The sequence below is a fragment of the Homo sapiens genome, chromosome 7, assembly GCF_000001405.40.
Source record: "Homo sapiens chromosome 7, GRCh38.p14 Primary Assembly".
Taxonomy (NCBI): Eukaryota; Metazoa; Chordata; class Mammalia; order Primates; family Hominidae; genus Homo; species Homo sapiens.
Genome location: NC_000007.14, coordinates 68,068,225 through 68,088,639, shown reverse-complemented (window position 1 = coordinate 68,088,639; position 20,415 = coordinate 68,068,225). Strand labels below are relative to the sequence as shown.

Genomic DNA, 20,415 nt, shown 5'->3' with positions numbered 1-20,415 from the left:
AGTGCAGTGATGTGATCTCGGCTCACTGCAAACTCCACCTCATGGGTTCAAGTGATTCTCCTGACTCAGCCTCCCATATAGCTGGGATTACAGGCATCCACCACCACGCCAGGCTAATTTTTGTATTTTTAGTAGAGATGGAGTTTCGGCATGTTGGCCAGGCTGGTCTTGAACTTGTAACCTCAAGTAATCTGCCCACCCCAGCCTCCCAAAATGCTAGGATTACAGTCGTGAGCCACCACACCGGGCCAACCAAGTCATTTTATAAAAGAGACTTGTGCATCTGCAGATATTAGTATCTGCAGGGGTTTCTGGGACAAATCCTCCCAGGATACAGAGGGCTACTGTGTTAGACTTGGAAACAATCTCATATAGGAAAAAAATGATGAAACTTGGAGTCAGGCAGATGTGCTTACATTCTGTCCTGCCACTTACATCACATATAATTCTGAGCAAGTTGCTTCACCTCTGTCATCTCCATATTCTAAACTCTAAAATGGGAACATGGATTGGGAGGCTGAGGCAGGCGGATCACCTGAGGTCAGGAGTTCGAGACCAGTCTGGCCAGCACGGTGAAACCCCATCTCTACTAAAAATACAAAAATTAACTAGGCGTGGTGGTGGGCATCTGTAACCCAGCTACTCAAGAGGCTGAAACAGGAGAATCGCTTGAACCCGGGAGGCGGAGGTTGCAGTGAGCCAAGAGCACTCCAGCCTGGGCAACAAAGCCAGACTCCATCTCAAAAATTAAATTAAATTAAATTAAATTAAATTAAAACATTGAAATTCGCTTCACATCCTTGGGAGAAAGAAGTTACCTTGCACGGAGTATGGCACAGAATGAGCAGGTAACAGATGGCAGCTTCTTGCCCTCACTTTTAGATAACACTGGTATCCAATGGGTTTACCGCTCAATCTCCTGAGTGATCTCCTCTTACCAGTAGTTGATGGCTGTTCAGGGAATGGAAATTAATTTTTACATTAGCCAAAGAAAAACATAATTAGGAAATCAAATCTGTTGCCGTAGCAGCCACAACAGTAAAAATAGGAATGTACATCATAGATAATGGCGTATTTAGCAGTCTGGAGTGTCCTAGCAAGCCGGTCCTTTGCACAGAAGGCTGGATTTATGGGGACTTCATGGCATAAAACAAAAGAGTATCAGGCTTGGAATTTTAAAACCTTCATGTTATTCCTGCTTCTGTCATCTTCGGGGGGACCTTGGGTATATCATCTCTCTCTGTGCTTCAGTTTCCTTGTCTTAATATGACAATGTTCTCAGCTCAACCTGAAGATGTGCTTATTCTAGGACTTAGGGAAGCTTGGAAAGTTGGGGGCTTGTGGACTGGATATTCTCAGGGTTTATTTACATAAAGGAATGGGGGCATGTAGAAGCCAGGGAGCTGAGCAGCTTAGATCTTCCTTCAATAGAACCTATTGTGAAGGGTTCTGCTCACAATAGTTGATGGCCAGAGGCTGTCCCTTCAGATCCTCCATCAATCTAATGCAAGACTTACGTGGAGGCCATGTTTTCTTCACAGTGGCTAAGCAGAGCAAGACAACCAAGCCAAGCTACTTCTGTTCACGGTGGGGCTCCTCCAGCAGTCCATTTTTGCTTGTGGAGTGTGGCAGTCAGCCCCCAAGATAACCCTAATGATCCTTGCCTCGTGGTATTCACACCCCATGTAGGCCACTCCCATGATAGGTTGACCCATGCAACCATGGGTCCCATGATAGGCAAACCCATGCAACTCTGTAGAATTCAGTAGGATCTACAGAACTTATGCTGTCAGTCTTTAGAAGCTACATGATAATAAACACCATAGCTTCTGTCTTGCATGCTCTTGGATCACTCACTCTGGTGGAAGCTATCTACCATGCCTTGAGGACACTCAGGCAGCTCTTTGGGGATGTCTCTATGGCAAGGAAATGAAGCCTCCTGTCAATAGCCAGTACCAATTTGCCAGCCACATGAGTGAGCCACCTTGAAAGTACCTCCTCCCACCCAAATCAAGTCTTCAAATGACTGCAGCCAACATCTTCATTGCAACCTCATGAGAGGACAGGAACTAGAGCCACCCAGCTCAGCGTCTTCTGAATTCCTGATCCACAGAAACTGTAACATAAGAAAAGTTTGTTGTTTTAAGCCATTGCATTTCAGGGTGATTTGTACCACAATAAAAGATAATTAGTTCAGGGACTCTGCAGAGACCTAGCCAAGACTCTTCCAGAGCTGTGCTGTGGCCCAGGGCTTTTTCCATCCAGGCTCTTCTCCTTTTCCGTCTCCACTCACAGGTGTCAGACCTGCACAGCAATCCAGAGGTGCTCCTCACCAGCTCCTGCTCCTTCTTCTCTTTATTCTTCGGAGGCTTTTCCCCTCAACGAATCCTGTTCATGTCCAACTCTTTTTATTTATTTATTATTTTGGAGAAGATCTGCCTCTGTTGCCCAGGCTAGAATGCAGTGATGCAGTCATAGCTCACTTGCAGCCTTCAACTCCTGTGCTCGAGAGATCCTTCCACCTCAGCCTCCTGAGTAACTGAGACTACAGGTGCACGTCAACACACCCAGCTAAGTTTTTAATTTTTTGTAGATATGGGATCTCTATGTTGCCCAGGCTGGTCATGAACTTGTGGGCTCAAGTGATGCTCCCACCTCAGCCTCCCAAAGTGCTGGGATTACAGGGGTGAGCCACCACACCTGGCCATGTCTAACTCTTTCTTTTCTTCTGTTTGTCTAGAGATTTGAACTGATACAGGCTGTCCTCATCAGCTGGGGCTGCTGTAACAAGGATGCCATAGACTGGGTGGCTTAAACAATAAATAGTTATTTCTCACAGTTCTGGAGGCTGAAAGTCCAAGATCAGCGTGCTAGCATTGTCAGATTCTGGTGAGAGGCGTCTTTCTGACTTGCTCACATGGAGAGAGAGAGGAAAAACAAGCTCTCTCCTATCTTGTCTTAGAAGAGCTTTATTCCCATCATAAAGGGTCCACCCTCATGATGTAATCACCTCTCAAAGGCCCCATCTTCAAATACCATCTTCAAATACCCATTGGGGACTAGAGTTTCAATATATAATTTTAGCAGTAGGGAGGGACAAACATACAGTCATGGCAGAGGGGAAACATGTAGAGTTTGGAGATGCCCAAGATCGGCCCAAGAATGACCATTGTTTATGGATAGAGTAGCTCCAAGGACAGCACAGCGTTTGCTCCTCACTCTGCACCTCAGTGCCTGTAATTGGGAACCAGGATGAAGAGATGATAAAACAAAGCAAGCAACAGGCCAGGTGCGGTGGCTCATGCCTGTAATCCCAACACTTTAGGAGGCCAAGGAGGGAGGATCACTTGAACCCAGGAGTTCAACAGCAGCCTGAGCAACAGAGCGAGACCCTGTCTCTAAAAAAATATATACTTTTAGTTAGCTAGATACGGTAGCATGTGTCTGTAGTCCCAGCTACTTAGGAGGCCAAGGCAGGAGGATGGCTTGAACCCAGGAGTTGAAGGCTGCAGTGATTCATGCTCAGGCCATTGAACTCTAGCCTGGGACACAGAACAAGCCCCTGTCTCAAAAAAAAATTTTAATTAAAAAAAATGAAGAAACAGGGCCCATTTTCTATAATCTCTACAGCCATGAAGATTGTTGGTAGATCAGGAGGTGGAGGTTGTAGGGAGTCAAGATTGCACCATTGCACTCCAGCCTGGGCAACAGAGCAAGACTCAGTCTCAAAAAAATATGCTGGTAGAAATACATAGGCTGCCACCATGGCAGACTAGAGACATTGTGTTGGTGCCAATGGTAGCACCAGCAGTATCGAGGGGAGTGGGCTTGGGGCTGGGGACATCAGCAGTGATATGCTGGGACAGTGGTGTCAGGGCCAGTGTCAACAACATTGTGACACTGGTCACTGATGCCTCTGTATAAGCAGCCTGCATATGGCTCCAGAAGGAGAAAAAAATGCCTTGGCAGGATGCAAGCTTTGAGCAAGAGCAAGCAAGGAGGAAAACACAAAAACATGAGAGATCCAAGAGGCTTGTTCTCAATTTTTTTTTTTTCAGTTAGCTGGATATGGTAGCAGGTGTGGGTAGTCCCAGCTACTGTGCAGGCCAAGGCAGGAGGATGGCTTGAGCCCAGGAGTTGGAGGCTACAGTGACTCATGATCAGGCCACTGCACTCCAGCCTGGGCAACAGAATGAGCCCCTGTTGATGGTGATGACCTAATCACCTCTCAAAGGCACCATCTTCAAATACCATCCCATTGGGGATTTTTTTCATTTAATTAATTTATTTATTTTGTATTACTACATCACCTGGAAATCTTACTGTGCCAAATTTATAAATTAAATTTTACTACTTATCTGTATGCATAGGAAAAATATTTTTTTATTTTTTAGTATTTATTGATCATTCTTGGGTGTTTATCGGAGAGGGGGATGTGGCAGGGTCATAGGATAATAGTGGAGAGAAGGTCAGCAGATAAACACGTGAACAAAGGTCTCTGGTTTTCCTAGGCAGAGGACCCTGCGGCCTTCTGCAGTGTTTGTGTCCCTGGGTACTTGAGATTAGGGAGTGGTGATGACTCTTAACGAGCATGCTGCCTTCAAGCATCTGTTTAACAAAGCACATCTTGCACCGCCCTTAATCCATTTAACCCTGAGTGGACACAGCACATGTTTCAGAGAGCACGGGGTTGGGGGTAAGGTTATAGATTAACAGCATCCGAAGGCAGAAGAATTTTTCTTAGTACAGAGCAAAATGGAGTCTCCTATGTCTACTTCTTTCTACACAGACACAGTAACAATCTGATCTCTCTTTCTTTTCCCCACATTTCCCCCTTTTCTTTTCAACAAAACCGCCATCATCATCACGGCCCGTTCTCAATGGTCACTGTCTCTTCTGAGCTGTTGGGTACACCTGCAGAAAGGCTGTCACTTCACACTTGGAAGATTGCACAGCAGCCAGGCAGAGGTGCTCCTCACATCCCAGAAGATGGGCAGCCAGGCAGAGTCGCTCCTCACCTCCCAGACGATGGGCAGCCGGGCAGAGGCGCTCCTCACCTCCCAGATGGGGTGGCCGGGCAGAGGCACTCCTCACCTCCCAGATGGGGCGGCCGGGCAGAGGTGCTCCTCACTTCCCAGATGGGGCAGCTGCCGGGCAGAGGCGCTCCTCACATCCCAGACGGAACGGCCGGGCAGAGGCACTCCTCACCTCCCAGACGGGGTGGCGGCCGGGCAGAGGCGCTCCTCACATCCCAGATGGGGCAGCCGGGCAGAGGCACTCACTTCCTAGACGGGGCGGCCGGGCAGAGGCGCTCCTCACATCCCAGATGGAGCAGCCGGGCAGCTGCACTCCTCACATCCCAGACGATGGGTGGCGGGGCAGAGGCGCTCCTCACATCCCAGATGGGGCGGCCAGGCAGAGGTGCTCCTCACATCCCAGATGGGGTGGCGGCCGGGCAGAGGCGCTCCTCACATCCCAGATGGGGTGGCCGGGCAGAGGCGCTCACTTCCTAGACGGGGCGGCCGGGCGGAGGTGCTCCCCACTTCCCGGACGGGGCTGCCGGGCATAGGCGCTCCTCACATCCCAGATGATGGGTGGCAGGGCAGAGGCGCTCCTCACATCCCAGACGGAGCGGCCAGGCAGCTGCGCTCCTCACATCCTAGATGATGGGTGGCGGGGCAGAGGCGCTCCTCACATCCCAGACGATGGGTGGCCAGGCAGAGGCGCCTCCTCAGTTCCCAGACGGGTCAGCCCGGCAGAGGCGCTCCTTACATCCCAGATGGGGCAGCCGGGCAGAGGCGCTCACTTCCTAGATGGGGCGGCTGGGCAGAGTCGCTCCCCACTTCCTGGATGGGGCGGCCGGGCATAGGCGCTCCTCACATCCCAGACGGAGCGGCCAGGCAGCTGCGCTCCTCACATCCCAGACGATGGGTGGCGGGGCAGAGGCGCTCCTCACATCCCAGACTATGGGCAGCCGGGCAGAGGCGCTCCTCACTTCCCAGACGGGGCGGCTGGGCAGAGGCGCTCCTCACTTCCCAGATGAAGGGCGGCTGGGCAGAGGCGCTCACTTCCTAGACGGGGCGGCCGGGCAGAGGCGCTCCTCAGTTCCCAGACGGGGCGGCCAGGCAGAGGCACTCCTCAGTTCCCAGACGGGGTGGCCGGGCAGAGGCACTCCTCACCTCCCAGATGGGGCGGCCGGGCAGAGGTGCTCCTCACCTCCCAGATGAAGGGTGGCTGGGCAGAGGCGCTCCTCACATCCCAGATGGGGTGGCCGGGCAGAGGTGCTCCTCACCTCCCAGATGAAGGGCGGCTGGGCAGAGGCGCTCACTTCCTAGACGGGGCGGCCGGGCAGAGGCGCTCCTCAGTTCCCAGACGGGGCGGCCAGGCAGAGGCACTCCTCAGTTCCCAGACGGGGTGGCTGGGCAGAGGCGCTCCTCACCTCCCAGATGGGGCAGCCGGGCAGAGGTGCTCCTCACCTCCCAGATGAAGGGCGGCTGGGCAGAGGCGCTCCTCACATCCCAGACGATGGGCAGCCGGGCAGTGGCGCTCCTCACATCCCAGCCCATTGGGGATTAGAGTTTCAATATACGAATTTGGCAGTGGGGAGGAACAAACATGAAATCTATGACACAGGGGGAAACATGTAGAGATTGGACATGCCCAAGAAAGAAAGAGTTACACAAATGCTTATTTAGTCCTAAGTATGCAAGCACCATGAGCCCACTATCCACCCCTCCACACTTGCCTTCCTCCCCCACCACCTTCTCTCTTCACAGACATGAGACTTCCCTTCTGATATAGTTTGAATATCTGTCTCCTCCAAATCTCCTGTTGAAATTTAATCCCCAGTGTTGGAGGTGGGGCCTGGTGGGAGGTATTTAGGTCATGGGGGTGGATCTCTCATAAATGGTTTGGTGCCATTCTCATGAGATTGAGTGAGCTCTCACTCTTAGTTCCCATCATCAGATCTGGTTGTTAAAAAGAGTGTGGTGACCAGGTACAGTGGCCCACGCCTGTAATCCCAGAACTTTGGGAGGCCGAGGCAAGTGGATCACAAGATCAGGGGTTCAAGACCAGCCTGGCCCACGTGGTGAAACCCCATCTCTACTAAAAATACAAAAATTAGCCAGGCATGGTGGCACGCACCTGTAGTCTCAGCTACTAGGGAGGCTGAGGCAGGAGAATTGCTTGAACCTGGGAGGCAGAGGTTGCAGTGAGCCGAGATCACACCACTGCACTCCAGCCTGGGTGACAGAGCGAGACTCTGCCTCAAAAAAAAAAAAAAAGAAAGAAAGAAAGAGGGTGGTACCTCTTCCTCTCTTGCTCCATCTCTTGCCATATAATCTTGCTAGCTCCCCTTTACCTTCTACCATGAGTGGAAGCTTCCTGAAGCCCTCACCAGCAGCAGATGTTGGCGCCATGTTTCTTGTGCAGCTTGCAGAGCTGTGAGCCAAAGAAACCTATTTTCTTTATAAAGTACCCAGCCTCAGTATTCTTTATAGCAATGCAAATAGACTACACTCTTGGAAGCCCCAGGACCAAGCCTGGGAGGGAAAGGAAGAGGAGTCCAGTTCTGGCTAATAAGGTCAGAGAAATGCTCATCAGCAGTTATTACCCTTGTATCCAAATGCCAGTTCAGTTGGGAAATGACACTTTAAACATAAAATTGGAGAGACTTATATTTGCTTTCTAAAGTCCCTTCTTTTGAAAATATGGAGGGAAAAATAAAACTGACATAGGATAAACCAAAAACAGCTAGTCTCTTCTCTCTCCTCCCACGTTCTCCTGTTCTCACAGCTGAAGCTACTTCCGTTTAATCACAGGCCAGAACATCCTCAACCCTCCAGAGACAGGAATGACAAAAGCTTTCCTTTTAGCTTGTTTTGCATTGTTTTGTTTTTCCTTTCTTTCTTTTCTTTTGAGACAGGGTCTCACTGTCACCCAGGCTGGAGTGCAGTGGGGTGGTCACAGTTCACTGCAGCCTTGACCTCCCGGGCTGAAATGATCCTCCCACCTCAGCCTCCCAAGTAGCTGGGGCCACAGGCATGCACCACCATGCCTGGCTAATTTTCGTATTTTTTTTTAAAGATGGAGTTTGGCCATGTTTCCCAGGCTGGTCTCAAACCCCTAGGCATGAGTGATCCTTCCACCTCAGCCTTCCAGACTGCTGGGATTATATGCATGAGCCACGGTGCCTGGCCTTCTCTTTCTTATCAATCTAGAAAGCAGACATTAATCAGATGCAAAGCCCAGTAGCTGCAGAAACTTCCCCAACCTCCACCGCTGGACTGGTTCTCTAAGTGTCCAGCCAATGACAGTTCTGTTTCCTTCTGGGTGCTACCAGGGAGTCTCATCCTGGTTTTAAGGTACTTTCCAGGTAAGTCCTCTACTGAGAGAGTCTCCCTGCCTACAACGTGAAACCCTCTGCTCCCTGACGGGACATGTAGCCTTCTGTGTGGTTTGAATATGAGCAAGTGGGCCAGGCACAGTGACTCACACCTGTAATCCCAACACTTTGGGAGGCCGAGGGGGTGGATCAGCTGAGGTCAGGAGTTCGAGACCAGCCTGGCCAACATGGTGTAACCCCGTCTCTACTAAAAATATAAAAATTAGCTGGGTATGGTGGCAGGCACCTGTAATCCCAGCTGCTCAGGAGGCTGAGGCAGGGAGAATTGCTTGAACCTGGGATGTGGAGGTTGCAGTGAGCCAAGATAGCACCATTGCACTCCAGCCTGGGCGACAGAACAAGACTCTGTCTCAAAAAAAAAAAAAAAAAAGAAAAGAAAAGAAGAAAAAAGAGTATGAACAAGTGTGTCTACTGCAGGTGGAGCTGGCTGTCTCTCATCTGCTAAACACACATTGTTATGTGCAGTGAAAGTACCTATTGTCACATGCCCATGGAGGTGGAAGAACTGCAACCTCTGACCCTGGATGAAAATGACGTTCACTCTGTACTTCCACTGGCACTACCCCCACCCCCTCCCAGGGCTAAGCCACCAGTGAATGGCTCTTCCCTGGGCTGCCATATTTATTTCCTAATCACCTTCCACCCCTCCAGTCTTGCCTTCTTCCACCACCTTCTTGCTACAGCAGCCAGAGTGATCACTTAAAAATGAAGACCCATCCACAGCTTTCCACGCATTCAAAATCATCCAGGTGTACTTAGTGTAAAGTCCCAGTGGCCCTCCATGATGTGATGGGCATCTTCTTTTGCCCATTGTACATACAGCTCTCTGTGAAGTCCTCAGCCAGGCTCCCCACTTTGCCTGGGAAACTTTTCCACAATCTGCCTCTTCTCATTAGTTCCTTCCTCCTCACTTTCCAGGTCTCAGCTGAGTGTCGCTGCCCCAGGAAAGCTTCCCGTGACACTCTGATCATGGACTTTGTAGAGCATGATGCATACTTAGGACTAAATAAGCATTTGTGTAACTCTTGGTTTAACGTGTGTCTCCTCCACAAGACAGGCACATGGAAACTCAGAAATCATTTGCTAAATGGACAAATACACAAATAGGTAGATGGATAGACACATCACTGTTTGCGTGGTCTTCTCCCTAACTCTGCTTCTCAAGGACAAGCTTGTGCTTTGATTACAACCTTGATATCAAATGAATGGGGGCTGCAGAAACCACGGTACTGCCCACTGGACAGTCCCAGGACCCTTCTTCCTTCCTCGCCAACACTCTTCTGTTTTCCTCGTTTTACCACTCGATTCCTCATCACCAGCTTCTTCTCCTTGGCAGATGGGCTTCTACTCCCTTTGTTTGCTTAGAAGACTCAGAGAAGATAGCTTTTAGCTTCAGTGCTTTGGAGGGAATTGGACATGAACTTCCTCACTTAGCTGAGATCCTTATCTGAGCTATTGACCATGTAGGACCCAACTCCCAGCTCCCAGCCACTTGGTTGACACCCGATGGTAACTTCTGGGCTCCAGCACCCTTCTCTGAGCATGCACAGCACAGACTCACCACCCCACTGATTGCCTGTGGGTCTGTCTTCTGCCACACAGAAGTGAGTAGAGGCAAAGTCTGCACCTGACCTTTTCACAATGATATCTTTGGCAGGAATCCTGTGCCTGTCACATAATAGGCATTTGGTATGTATTTATTAAATAAACAAATGAATAAATGCCTCCAGGTGAAGATGGAGTAAGAAAGGAATGACTATTTTAGCTGGGGAGACTGGGGCCAGCGCAGCCCGCTGTTCCCAAGTGCATTCAATATCTAGAGGGCTGAGGACAATTAAACGGAAGCCATCTATTCAACTCTTCACCATGACAACTGCCCTTGATTGATGAGCTCTGAGGACTAGCCTGGAAAGATTTCAATCTATCTGAGAGGATCAGTACCAACCAGGGAGTTTTCTGAGCTGATTCTTCTAAGATCTGCAGATAATGTTGTCACTACGTTTGATGAAATGACAATTGTCAATTCATCCTATTAGTACCTCGTAGTTTTATCTGGCAGCCTGCATGCTGGCTAAATGGCATTTTAGTGTTAACCAAGAGTATCGTGATCCTGCATGTCTTTTTCCTTTCATCTGGTTTAAGGACATCTCTTTAAAGAAACAAAACAAAATAAGAAAGTGAAAGTGTTGGAGTTGCACATGATAATGTTTGTGATTGCGAATTGCATAATGGCATAATGTTATAAAAAATTAATGCATTTGAAGAATGTGGTCTTATTACACATTTCTTGGATACCATCTGATACAGTTTGGCTCTGTGTCCCCACCCAAATCTCATGTTGAATTGTAATTCCCAGTGTTGGAGGTGGGGCCTGGTTGGAGGTGATTGAATCATGGGAGTGGGTTTCCCCCTTGCTGTCCTTGTGATAGATTTTTTAAAATATTTTTATTTTTATTTTTTATCTTTTTTGAGACGGAGTCTCGCTCTGTCACCTAGGCTGGAGTGCAGTGGCACAATCTCCGCTCACTGCAAGCTCCGCCTCCCAGGTTCACGCCATTCTACTGCCTCCCGAGTAGCTGGGACTACAGGCACCCGCCACCAGGCCCAGATAATTTTTTGTATCTTTTAGTGGAGTTGGGGTTTCACCCTGTTAGCCAGGATGGTCTTGATCTCCTGACCTCATGATCCACCCACCTCGGCCTCCCAAAGTGCTGGGTTTATAGGCGTGAGCCACTGTGCCTGGCCCTTGTGATAGATTTCTCACAAGATCTGGTTGTTTGAAAGTGTTTGATACCTCCCCCTTTGCTCTCTCTTCCTCCTGCTCCAGACAGATAGGGCGTGCCAGTTTCCCCTTTGCCTTCCACCATGATTGTAAGTTTCCTGAGGCCTCCCAGCCATACTTTCTGTACAGCCTGAAAAACTGTGAGCCAATTAAACCTCTTTTTTTATAAATTACCCAGTCTCTATAGCACTGTGAGAATGGACTAATACACCATCCACAATACGATATTTTGCTAGGTTGGTTTACTGTCAATGCTTCATCTCAAGACGAATAGAGCTATTTAGACATTTTGCTCTAACCCTGAGCACAGTCCTACCCTTGCACTCCAGTGGTCTGTGACCCACAGCTTGGGAATTACTATTCTAGCTCATTTTTCTCAAGTTCAGGGATCAAACTTGAAAGTTTATCTTGGGTACAATCAACTCAAGAAACTCCTCTGCAAGGAACTCAGGCATGGTGGATATATTACTCAGGGCTCTCCAGAGAAACAGAACAAATAGGATGCACACACAAACACACACTCAGACACACACACACAGCATCCCTTACTTATGGTAGCTCAACATACAATTTTTCAACTTTGCAATGATGCAAAAGCAATATGCATTCCATAGAAACCACACTTTGAATACCCATACGAGCATTCTGATTTTCATGTTCAGTAAAGTATTCAATAAATGACAAGAAACATTCAACATTTTATTATGAAATAGACTTTGTATTAGGTAATTTTGCCCAATTGTAAGCAAATGTGAGTGTTCTGAGTACATTTAAGGGAGGCCAGGCTAAGCTATGATTCAGTAGGTTAGGTGTATTAAATGCATTTTTGACATACCATACTTTCACCTTATGGTGGGTTTGTTGGGACATAACTCTATCATACATTGAGAAGCATCTGTGTGTGTGTGTGTATATATGTGTATATATATATGTGTATATGTGTATATATATGTGTATATATATATGTGTGTGTATATATATATATATGTAGTAGAATTGGCTCACACAAGCTGAGAAGACCTACGATTTGCTCTCTTCAAGTTGGAGACCCAGAGAAGACCATGTCATCATTCAGTAAGAGTTCAGAGGCCTCTGAGAACCGGGGGAGTTGATGGTGTGAATGCCAGTCTGAGAACCGGAGAAGATGAGATGAGACGTTCCAACTTAAGAGGTGAGGCAGAAACAAGAGGTGACTGTCTTCTTCCTCTGCTGCCTTTTGTTCTGTTCTGGCCCTCAATGGATTGGATGATGCCCACCCACATTAGGGAGTGGGGGTCATCTGCTTTACTCAGTCCATGAATTCAAATGCTAACCACTTCCAGAAACGCCCTCAGAGACACATCCACAATAATGTGTAATCAGATATTCTGTGGCCCAGCAAATTAGTGCATAAAAGTAACAACTGCAATGGGCTTGCTGAGTTTGTCTGCCTGCTGTAGAGTCAGCACCTGGGTGCGTGTAACTGAACCTCCTGGGTCATTTTCACTTTCTCTCCTGAGTCCTAGAATACTCGGATTAGGCCAGGTATGGTGGCTCATGCCTGTAATCCCAGCACTTTGGCAGTTGGAGGTCAAAGTGGGAGGATTGTTTGAGTTCAAGGCTTTAAGACCAGCCTGGGCAACATACTGAAATCCCATCTCTATGTTAAAAATATATATATACTGATACTGGCTGGGCACAGTGGCTCACGCCTGTAATCCCAGCACTTTCGGAGGCTGAGGTGAGCGGATCACCTGAGGTCAGGAGTTCGAGACCAGCCTGACCAAAATGGAGAAACCCTGTCTCTACTAAAAACACAAAGTTAGCTGGGCGTGGTGGTGGGCGCCTGTAATCCTGGCTACTCAGGAGGCTGAGGCATGAGAATCGCTTGGACCCAGGAGGTGGAGGTTGTGGTGAGCCGAGATCATGCCATTGCACTCCATCCTGGGCAACAAGAGTGAAACTCCACCTCAAAAAATATATATACAAAAGTTAGCCAGGCATGTAGTCCCAACTGCTTGGGAGGCTGAGGTGGGAGAATTACTTGAACCCAGGATTTCAAGGCTGCGGTGAGCTGTTATCACACCACTGCACTGCAGCCTGGGTGATAGAGCGAGAACCTGTTAAAAAATGGTCAGACTTCTAACTGCGGGGCCTGGGGCACCAAGGACCCCACCAGTGATGGTGTCCATGCTCTGGATGGTGTGGGTAGATACCTCCTTCTAAGCGAAGAATGAGAACCTCAGGGTGATGCAGCCACTCCGCCCAGCCTTGCGGGTGAGGCCTGTCTGCATCCCTAGCGACTACACAATGACCATTTTCCCATCCCAAGGCCTCTAACATTACCGTGCATCCAGCCACTTGTGCCTGGACACCCCCAACCCCATCCCCAAGAACAGCCCAGTCAGTCGTGGTGTTCCATTTCCCAGCTTGTAGAGCTAGGGTTTCCCAAATGGCTCAGGTCACCCTTAGAAACTAAAAATCCAGTGGCTGAATTTTAGTCCTGAGAGTAATTTCATTCTTATAGTTAAGATGCCAGAAGAGGCTGGGCGCGGTGGCTCACGCCTGTAATCCCAGCACTCTGGGAGGCCGAGGCGGGCGGATCACGAGGTCAGGAGATCGAGACCATCCTGGCTAACATGGTGAAACCCCGTCTCTACTAAAAATACAAAAAATTAGCCAGGCGTAGCGGCGGGCGCCTGTAGTCCCAGCTACTCAGGAGGGTGAGGCAGGAGAATGGCGTGCACCCGGGAGGCGGAGCTTGCAGTGAGCCGAGATTGCGCCACTGCACTCCAGCCTGGGCGATAGACTGTCAAAAAAAAAAAAAAAAAAAGGCCAGAAGAATGTCAAATTAAACTCCAAACTGCATATAAAGTTAAACTCTTTTTGCTGCCAGCTGTACTTGCTTCAGGATGGAAAGATGGGAGAAGCTAGGACGGGGTGGCAGTGGATGAATAATTCTCTGTCCCTGCCAAGCAATGCTATCCTCCTTTCATTTGTAGGCTGCCTTTAGCTCCTCCTGCTTGGGAAAAGGTGCCAGACACCAGGACAGAGAAGGGGCAGGACTGGTCAGTGCTCCTGTGTTACTTGCCGTATCCTCTGCCCATAGCAGAAATGTACAGCTACGTCTTGCTCATGGATCATTTTTTAAATGCTTCTAAGCTTCTTCTTGTGACCCACCAAACTCCTGCTCCCTTAACTGGGCAGGACCTCCCTTCTTTAGGCTGTTTACAACTCCTGTCTTCTCCAGCTTCTTTCTGCTGAAATGGCCTCTCTCTCTCTTAGGAGGTTCTGTGTCTTGAGGCAGGAGAATAGGGTCTGCAGGCAGGGAACTTAAGGCCGATTCACATTGACTTACTAAAACTAAATCGAAAGGAAAACCCCAACTTTCCAAACCTAAGTAAAAAAGTACTGGAGGCTACTACCTTTGCACCCCCGACCCCCCCGCCCACCTTTTCTGCATGGCAGATGGAACATTGAAAGTATCTCTGATTGGTTGCAGAAAGCAACTAATTTGCATAGGAGCGTAACTTTGTAACTTCACTTCAGCCTCTGATTGAGGAAAGCAACCAACCGGACTGATTGCAGGGCAAGTCTTCATTTGCATAGAAGTGTAACTTTTTAACTTCACTTTAGCCTCTGATTGGTTGCTTTCCAATCACATGCTGGCATAGGGTGCAACGTTTGTAACTTCCCTTCAGCCTCTGATTAGTTGCTTTTTGAAACCAGACTGATTGGGAGCCACTACTTCATTTCCACCAAGTAATCAATGGGAAACCTCTAGAGGGTATTTAAACCCCAGAAAATTCTGCAACCAGGCTCTTCAGCCCTTATGCAAGGACCCATTCCCACCCTGTGGAGTGTACTTTCGTTTTCAATAAATCTCTGCTTCTGTTGCTTCATTATTTCCTTGCTTTGTTAGTGTGTTTTGTCCAATTCTTTGTTCAAGATGCCAAGAACCTGGACACCCTCCACTGGTAACAGCCTCACAGAGCCCACACATGCTCCAGGGAAACTATTCGTCCATTCTCACAGTGCTATAAAGAACTACCTGAGACTGGGTAATTTATGAAAAAAAGAGGTTTAATTTACTCACACTTCTGCAGACTGTACAGAAGCAAGACTAGGAGACCTTAGGAAATTTACAATCATGGCAGAAGGTGAAGGGGAAGCAAGCACGTCTTTACCATGGTGGAACAGGAGAGCGAGAAAGAGAGAAGGGGAGAGAGCTACACACTTATCTCATGAGAACTCTATCATGGGAACAGCAAGGGGGATGTCTTCCCCCATAATTCAATCACCTCCCACCAAGCCCCTCCTCTGACACATGCAGATTACAATTCGAGATGAGATTTGGGTGGGGACACAGGGCCAAACCACATCAGAAACCTACACTTTTGCCTTGCTCTCAGAGCAGGTGCAACAGCAGCCCAAGTGGCCTCCCATCTTTACTCTCAGACATTTGAGAAACTGCACTCCAAGAGACCCATAAGGAGCTATCTTGACCTCCCTGAAGCTCCTCTCCCTAAACACCCCACCCACTCCCCACGGAACTAGGAGGCTGAAGTCTTGTCCAGGTAGATGTGCTATGATGCATGGTGATGTTAGAAGCCTTGGGATGGGAAAATGGTGAAGCCACCAACCCTGTCTTGGACGCTCCCACTTGTACTTGTGAACTTGTGAGGCCTCCCATGAGGATGTTGGGCTAAGAGCACAAAACCCATTTTCTGCCATCTTTGAAATTCTAGACCACTTCCAAATAATCTACAAACTCACCTTAGAATGTAAAGCACTAGCCACTAATAGTTTTGTTCTCTGCTTTTTGGGGCTTCAGCTGAAACTGAGGCACAAACAACCTCCCTTTAATATCATGTGACACACAAAAGCACAGACTAATTTACAAAAAATACCTAGAAAAACACTTACAAATGCATACTCAGTTACACAACTATAGAGCAAAACCCAAAAGTACTTTACTACAAATCTACTAACGCTGAACATAAGCTCTTTCATGATCCAGCAATTCCACTCTGAGATTTATACTAAAAAGAAATATAAACATAAAAACATACAGAAGAGGCTGGACATGGCGGTTCCTGCCTGTAATCCCAGTGCTTTGGGAAGCTGTGGTGGGAGGATCACTTGAGCCCAGGAGTTTGAGTCCAACCTGGGTATCATAGCAAGACTCCATCTAAAAAAAAAAAAAAAAAAAAAATTTAATTTGCCAGGCATGGTGGCAAGTGCCTGTGGTCCCAGCTCTTCAAGAGGCTGGAGGGGGAAGGATCCCTTGAGTCCAGGAGATCAAGGCTGCAGTGAGCTATGATGGTCCCACTCCACTCCAGTCTGGCTGACAGAACAAGACCCTGTCTCCAAAAAAAAAAAAAAAAAACACAACCAAAAAAATAGAAGAATGCAAGCATTGGCATGATTCATAACAGTTAACTAGAAACTACCCAAATGGATGCCAACAGTAGTAGAAAAAAGTGCATTAGGGTTTATGCATCCATGGGAATAGTATGCAGTGAAGACAATGGATAAACTACAGTTACACACAGATGGATGGATCTGACAAGCATAATGCTAAACACCAAGAAAACCGAAAAGAGGACACCATGTAGGATTCCATTTATTCAAAGCTCAAAAGCAGGCAAAACTGATAAATGGTGTATTAGCAATCAGGGCAGTGGCAGTGACTGAGAAAAATATCACAGGAGGCTCTAGGATGATAAGATTCTATTTTGATCTGGGAGCATGGTGTGTTCACTTGGTAAGACCCCATCATGCTCTACATACACAATACGTGCAGTTGTCTATACGTCTGTTAGAGTTTAATTTAAAAATCACTGGCCAGGCATGGTGGCTCACACCTATAACCTCAGCATTTTGGGAGGCCGAGGTGGGCAGATCATGAGGTCATGAGTTCGAGACCAGCCTGACCAACATGGTAAAACCCCGTCTCTACTAAAAATACAAAAATTAGTTTAGCATGGTGGCTTGCACCCGTAATCCCAGCTGCTCAGGAGGCTGAGGCAGGAGAATTGCTTGAACCAGGGAGGTAGAGATTGCAGTGAGCCGAGATCGCGCCACTGCACTCCAGCCTGGGTGACAGAGTAAGACTCCATCTCAAAAAAAAAAAGAAAGAAATTACTTAGAATTATTGATGATTGAACACCATTTCCCCGCAAAGTTACAACCTCACTTTCATGCCTCAGATGCATCAAAAGAAGCTTGAATTCTGAGATAAGAGGCTGGATTGCATCACCCTTAGAGAGAACAGACACAATGGCCCCGTGCCTTTGGTACAAGTTGCCAGAATTCACGGAGTTACCTGTGCTGCCCGCACTCCAGCATCAGACTGGCCCTAGCTCTCTGGCATGTTATATTGGAGAGATGGGATAGGAGTTAAAAATATGAAACCCAGACTGACAGCAACTTTCTGGCAGTGAGGAACCCTCTCCCTTAGAAAAATGGGGGAATCCTAATAGGCAAAGTGGAGCCGAGCTTTCAACCAGCCTAGAAGGAGGATCCAATCAGGACTCTGGATTCCAGCAGATCTGAGTTTTATTTCTGCTCCACTACTTTCTGGTGCTGTGATCTTGGGCGAATTCTCCTCCACTGAATCTCTCAACTCTCAGGCAATAACATGCTCCCCTCAACCTGCTCTCTTTTCTCTTTTTTCTATACCAATTATCAATCTCCAACCTAATTTATGGCTTACTTAGCTACTATATTTATGGCTTACCATCTGTCTTCCTAAAGAATGTACGCTTCAAAATTGCAGATTTTATTTATTTATTTTTTTTTTTTTTGAGATGGAGTCTCATTCTGTCACCCAGGCTGGAGTGCAGTGGTGCTATCTTGGCTCACTACAACCTCCGCCTCCCGGGTTCAAGCAATTCTCTTGCCTCAGCCTCCTGAGTTGTTGGGACTACGGGCATGCGCCAACACACCCAGCTAATTTTTGTATTTTTAGTAGAGACGGGGTTTCACCATACTGGTCAGGCTGGTCTCGAACTCCTGACCTCAGGTCATCCGCCCGCCTCAACCTCCCAAAATGCTGGGATTACAGGCGTGAGCCACCAAACCCTGTCCAAAAATGCAGAAAAATTGTATCAATATTGTTCACTGTTGTAGTCCCAACACCCAGAACAGCATGTGGGACATAGAAGACACTCAAATGCTTATTTAATAAATAAACAAAAATGATAATTCTAAAACAAACAGATAAACAATTACTTAGGAAAATGAGTCTACTATGAGAAGTGCACGTTATGTGTTGCAAGACTTGAGAAATGAATGACCAGAGCCAAATGGAGAGCAAGGGGTGTCAGCCAAGCTAGGGCCTTTGACAAGGAGGTGCTGTGTTCCTGTGCGCCTGCATCCTGGTTCCTGCAGAACCCGACTGATTTCTGACACTTATTTCTCCGGCTCCATTTTTTCCCATCACTGTGTCTTACCACAGTGTCCACCTTGTTAAATGCAGTTGTCTTTGTTTCTCTGCAAAGTGGTAACAAAAAGAGAGCATGGTTTGGCTCACACCTGTACTCCCAGCACTTTGAGAGGCCGAGGCGGACAGATCACAAGGTCAAGAGATCGAGTCCATCCTGGCCAACATGGTGAAACCCCGTCTCTACTAAAAAAACAAAAATTAGCTGAGTGTGGTGGTGAGTGTCTGAAGTCCCAGCTACTCGGGAGGCTGAGGCGGGAGAATCGCTTGAACCTGGGAGGCAGAGGTTGCAGTAAGCCGATCGCACCACTGCACTCCATCCTGGTGACAGAGCGAGACTCTGTCCACACAAAAAAAAGAGAGACAGAGAGAACATGGGAATTGTTTTCAAAGCCTTTATAATTTTTTGGAGCAGTTTTAAGTTCATAGTAAAACTGAATAGAGGGCACAGAGATTTCCTGTATGTCCCCCTGGCCCCCCCGACACACAGCACCCCCCTTTGTCAACCTCCTGCACCAGAGTGGTACATCAGTTATAGCCAATGAGCATACACTAACACATCATTATCAATCGAAGTCCACAGTTTAATGAGGGTTCACTCTTGTTGTTGCTTATTCTATGGGCTTGGACTAATGTGTAATGACATGTATCCACCATTACAGTCTCACACGACCGTTTTCACTGCCTTAAACATCCTCTGTGTCCTACCTATTCATCCTTCTCTCCCCCTCACCCCAACTCCTGGTAACCACTGATCTTTTTACTGTCTCCATGGTTTTGTCTTTTCCAGAAGGCCACTTTGTTGAAATACAGTGTGTACCACTTCAGATTGTCTTTTTTCAGTTAGCAATGTGCGTTTAAGTTTCCTCCATGTCTTTTCATAGCTTGAGAGCTCATTTCATGTGAGCATTGAATAACATTCCAGTGTCTGGAGATAGCACCATCTCTTTATTCATTTACTCACTGAAGGACATCTTGGATACTTCCATGTTTTGCAATTATAATAAAGCTGCTATAAAAATCCGTATGCAGGGTTTTTTTTTAATGTGGGGAGAATGAGACTATTTGTTTGCTTTTTTGTTTGTTTATTTATTTATTTATTTTGAAACTGGGTCTTACTCCTATTGCCCATGCTGGAGTACAATGGTGCCATCAAGACTCACTGCAGCCTCAACTTCCCAGGCTCAGGTGATCCTCCCATCTCAGCCTCCTGAGCAGCTGGAACCACAGGTGCATGCCACCATGCCCAGCTAATTTTTTGTATCTTTTAGTAGAGACGGAGTTTTGCCATGTTGCCCAGGCTGGTCTCGAACTCCTGAGCTCAAGCGATCCACTCACCCTGGCCTCCTAAAGTGCTGGGATTACAAGTGTGAGCCACTGCACCCAGCCAGATAATAAGATTTTAAAACAATATATCCCACTTTGAGATCCTGTTTCTCCACCTGCTGGCTTGACTTCTTGAGCAAGTTACAGAATTTCTTTAAGCCTCAGTCTCTTTGTCTGTGCAATGGAGATACCAAATACTTCACAGTAGATTAAAAGAGTGAATGATTCTCGAAGCATAACTCTTTCATAGTAGCTTAATGAGTGTAACGACTTTTACAGTATCAAGGCGATATACGTATTGTAGTTTGTTACTCCTAGTCTTTGTGTTTAGATAAGGAGTTGGGGACCAGTGCCAAATCATCTAGTAGGAGGAAAGAGACTTCTGGTCACCAGTCTGTATTTCCTGAGCTTGCAGGGCAGACAGGGTCTGCATGTCACCAACAACTGGTGTTGCTTATCTCTGCATGCCATGTT

At 47.6% G+C, this 20,415-nt stretch overlaps 1 annotated feature.

The window, feature by feature from the left end:
• Positions 4,338 to 4,845: an enhancer, noted in NCBI's record as "NANOG hESC enhancer chr7:67548782-67549289 (GRCh37/hg19 assembly coordinates)". NCBI's record gives its function as "activates a minimal SCP1, AML or CMV promoter by ChIP-STARR-seq in naive H9 embryonic stem cells {active_cell/tissue: H9 hESC(naive)}" and the evidence as "EXISTENCE:reporter gene assay evidence [ECO:0000049][PMID:30033119]".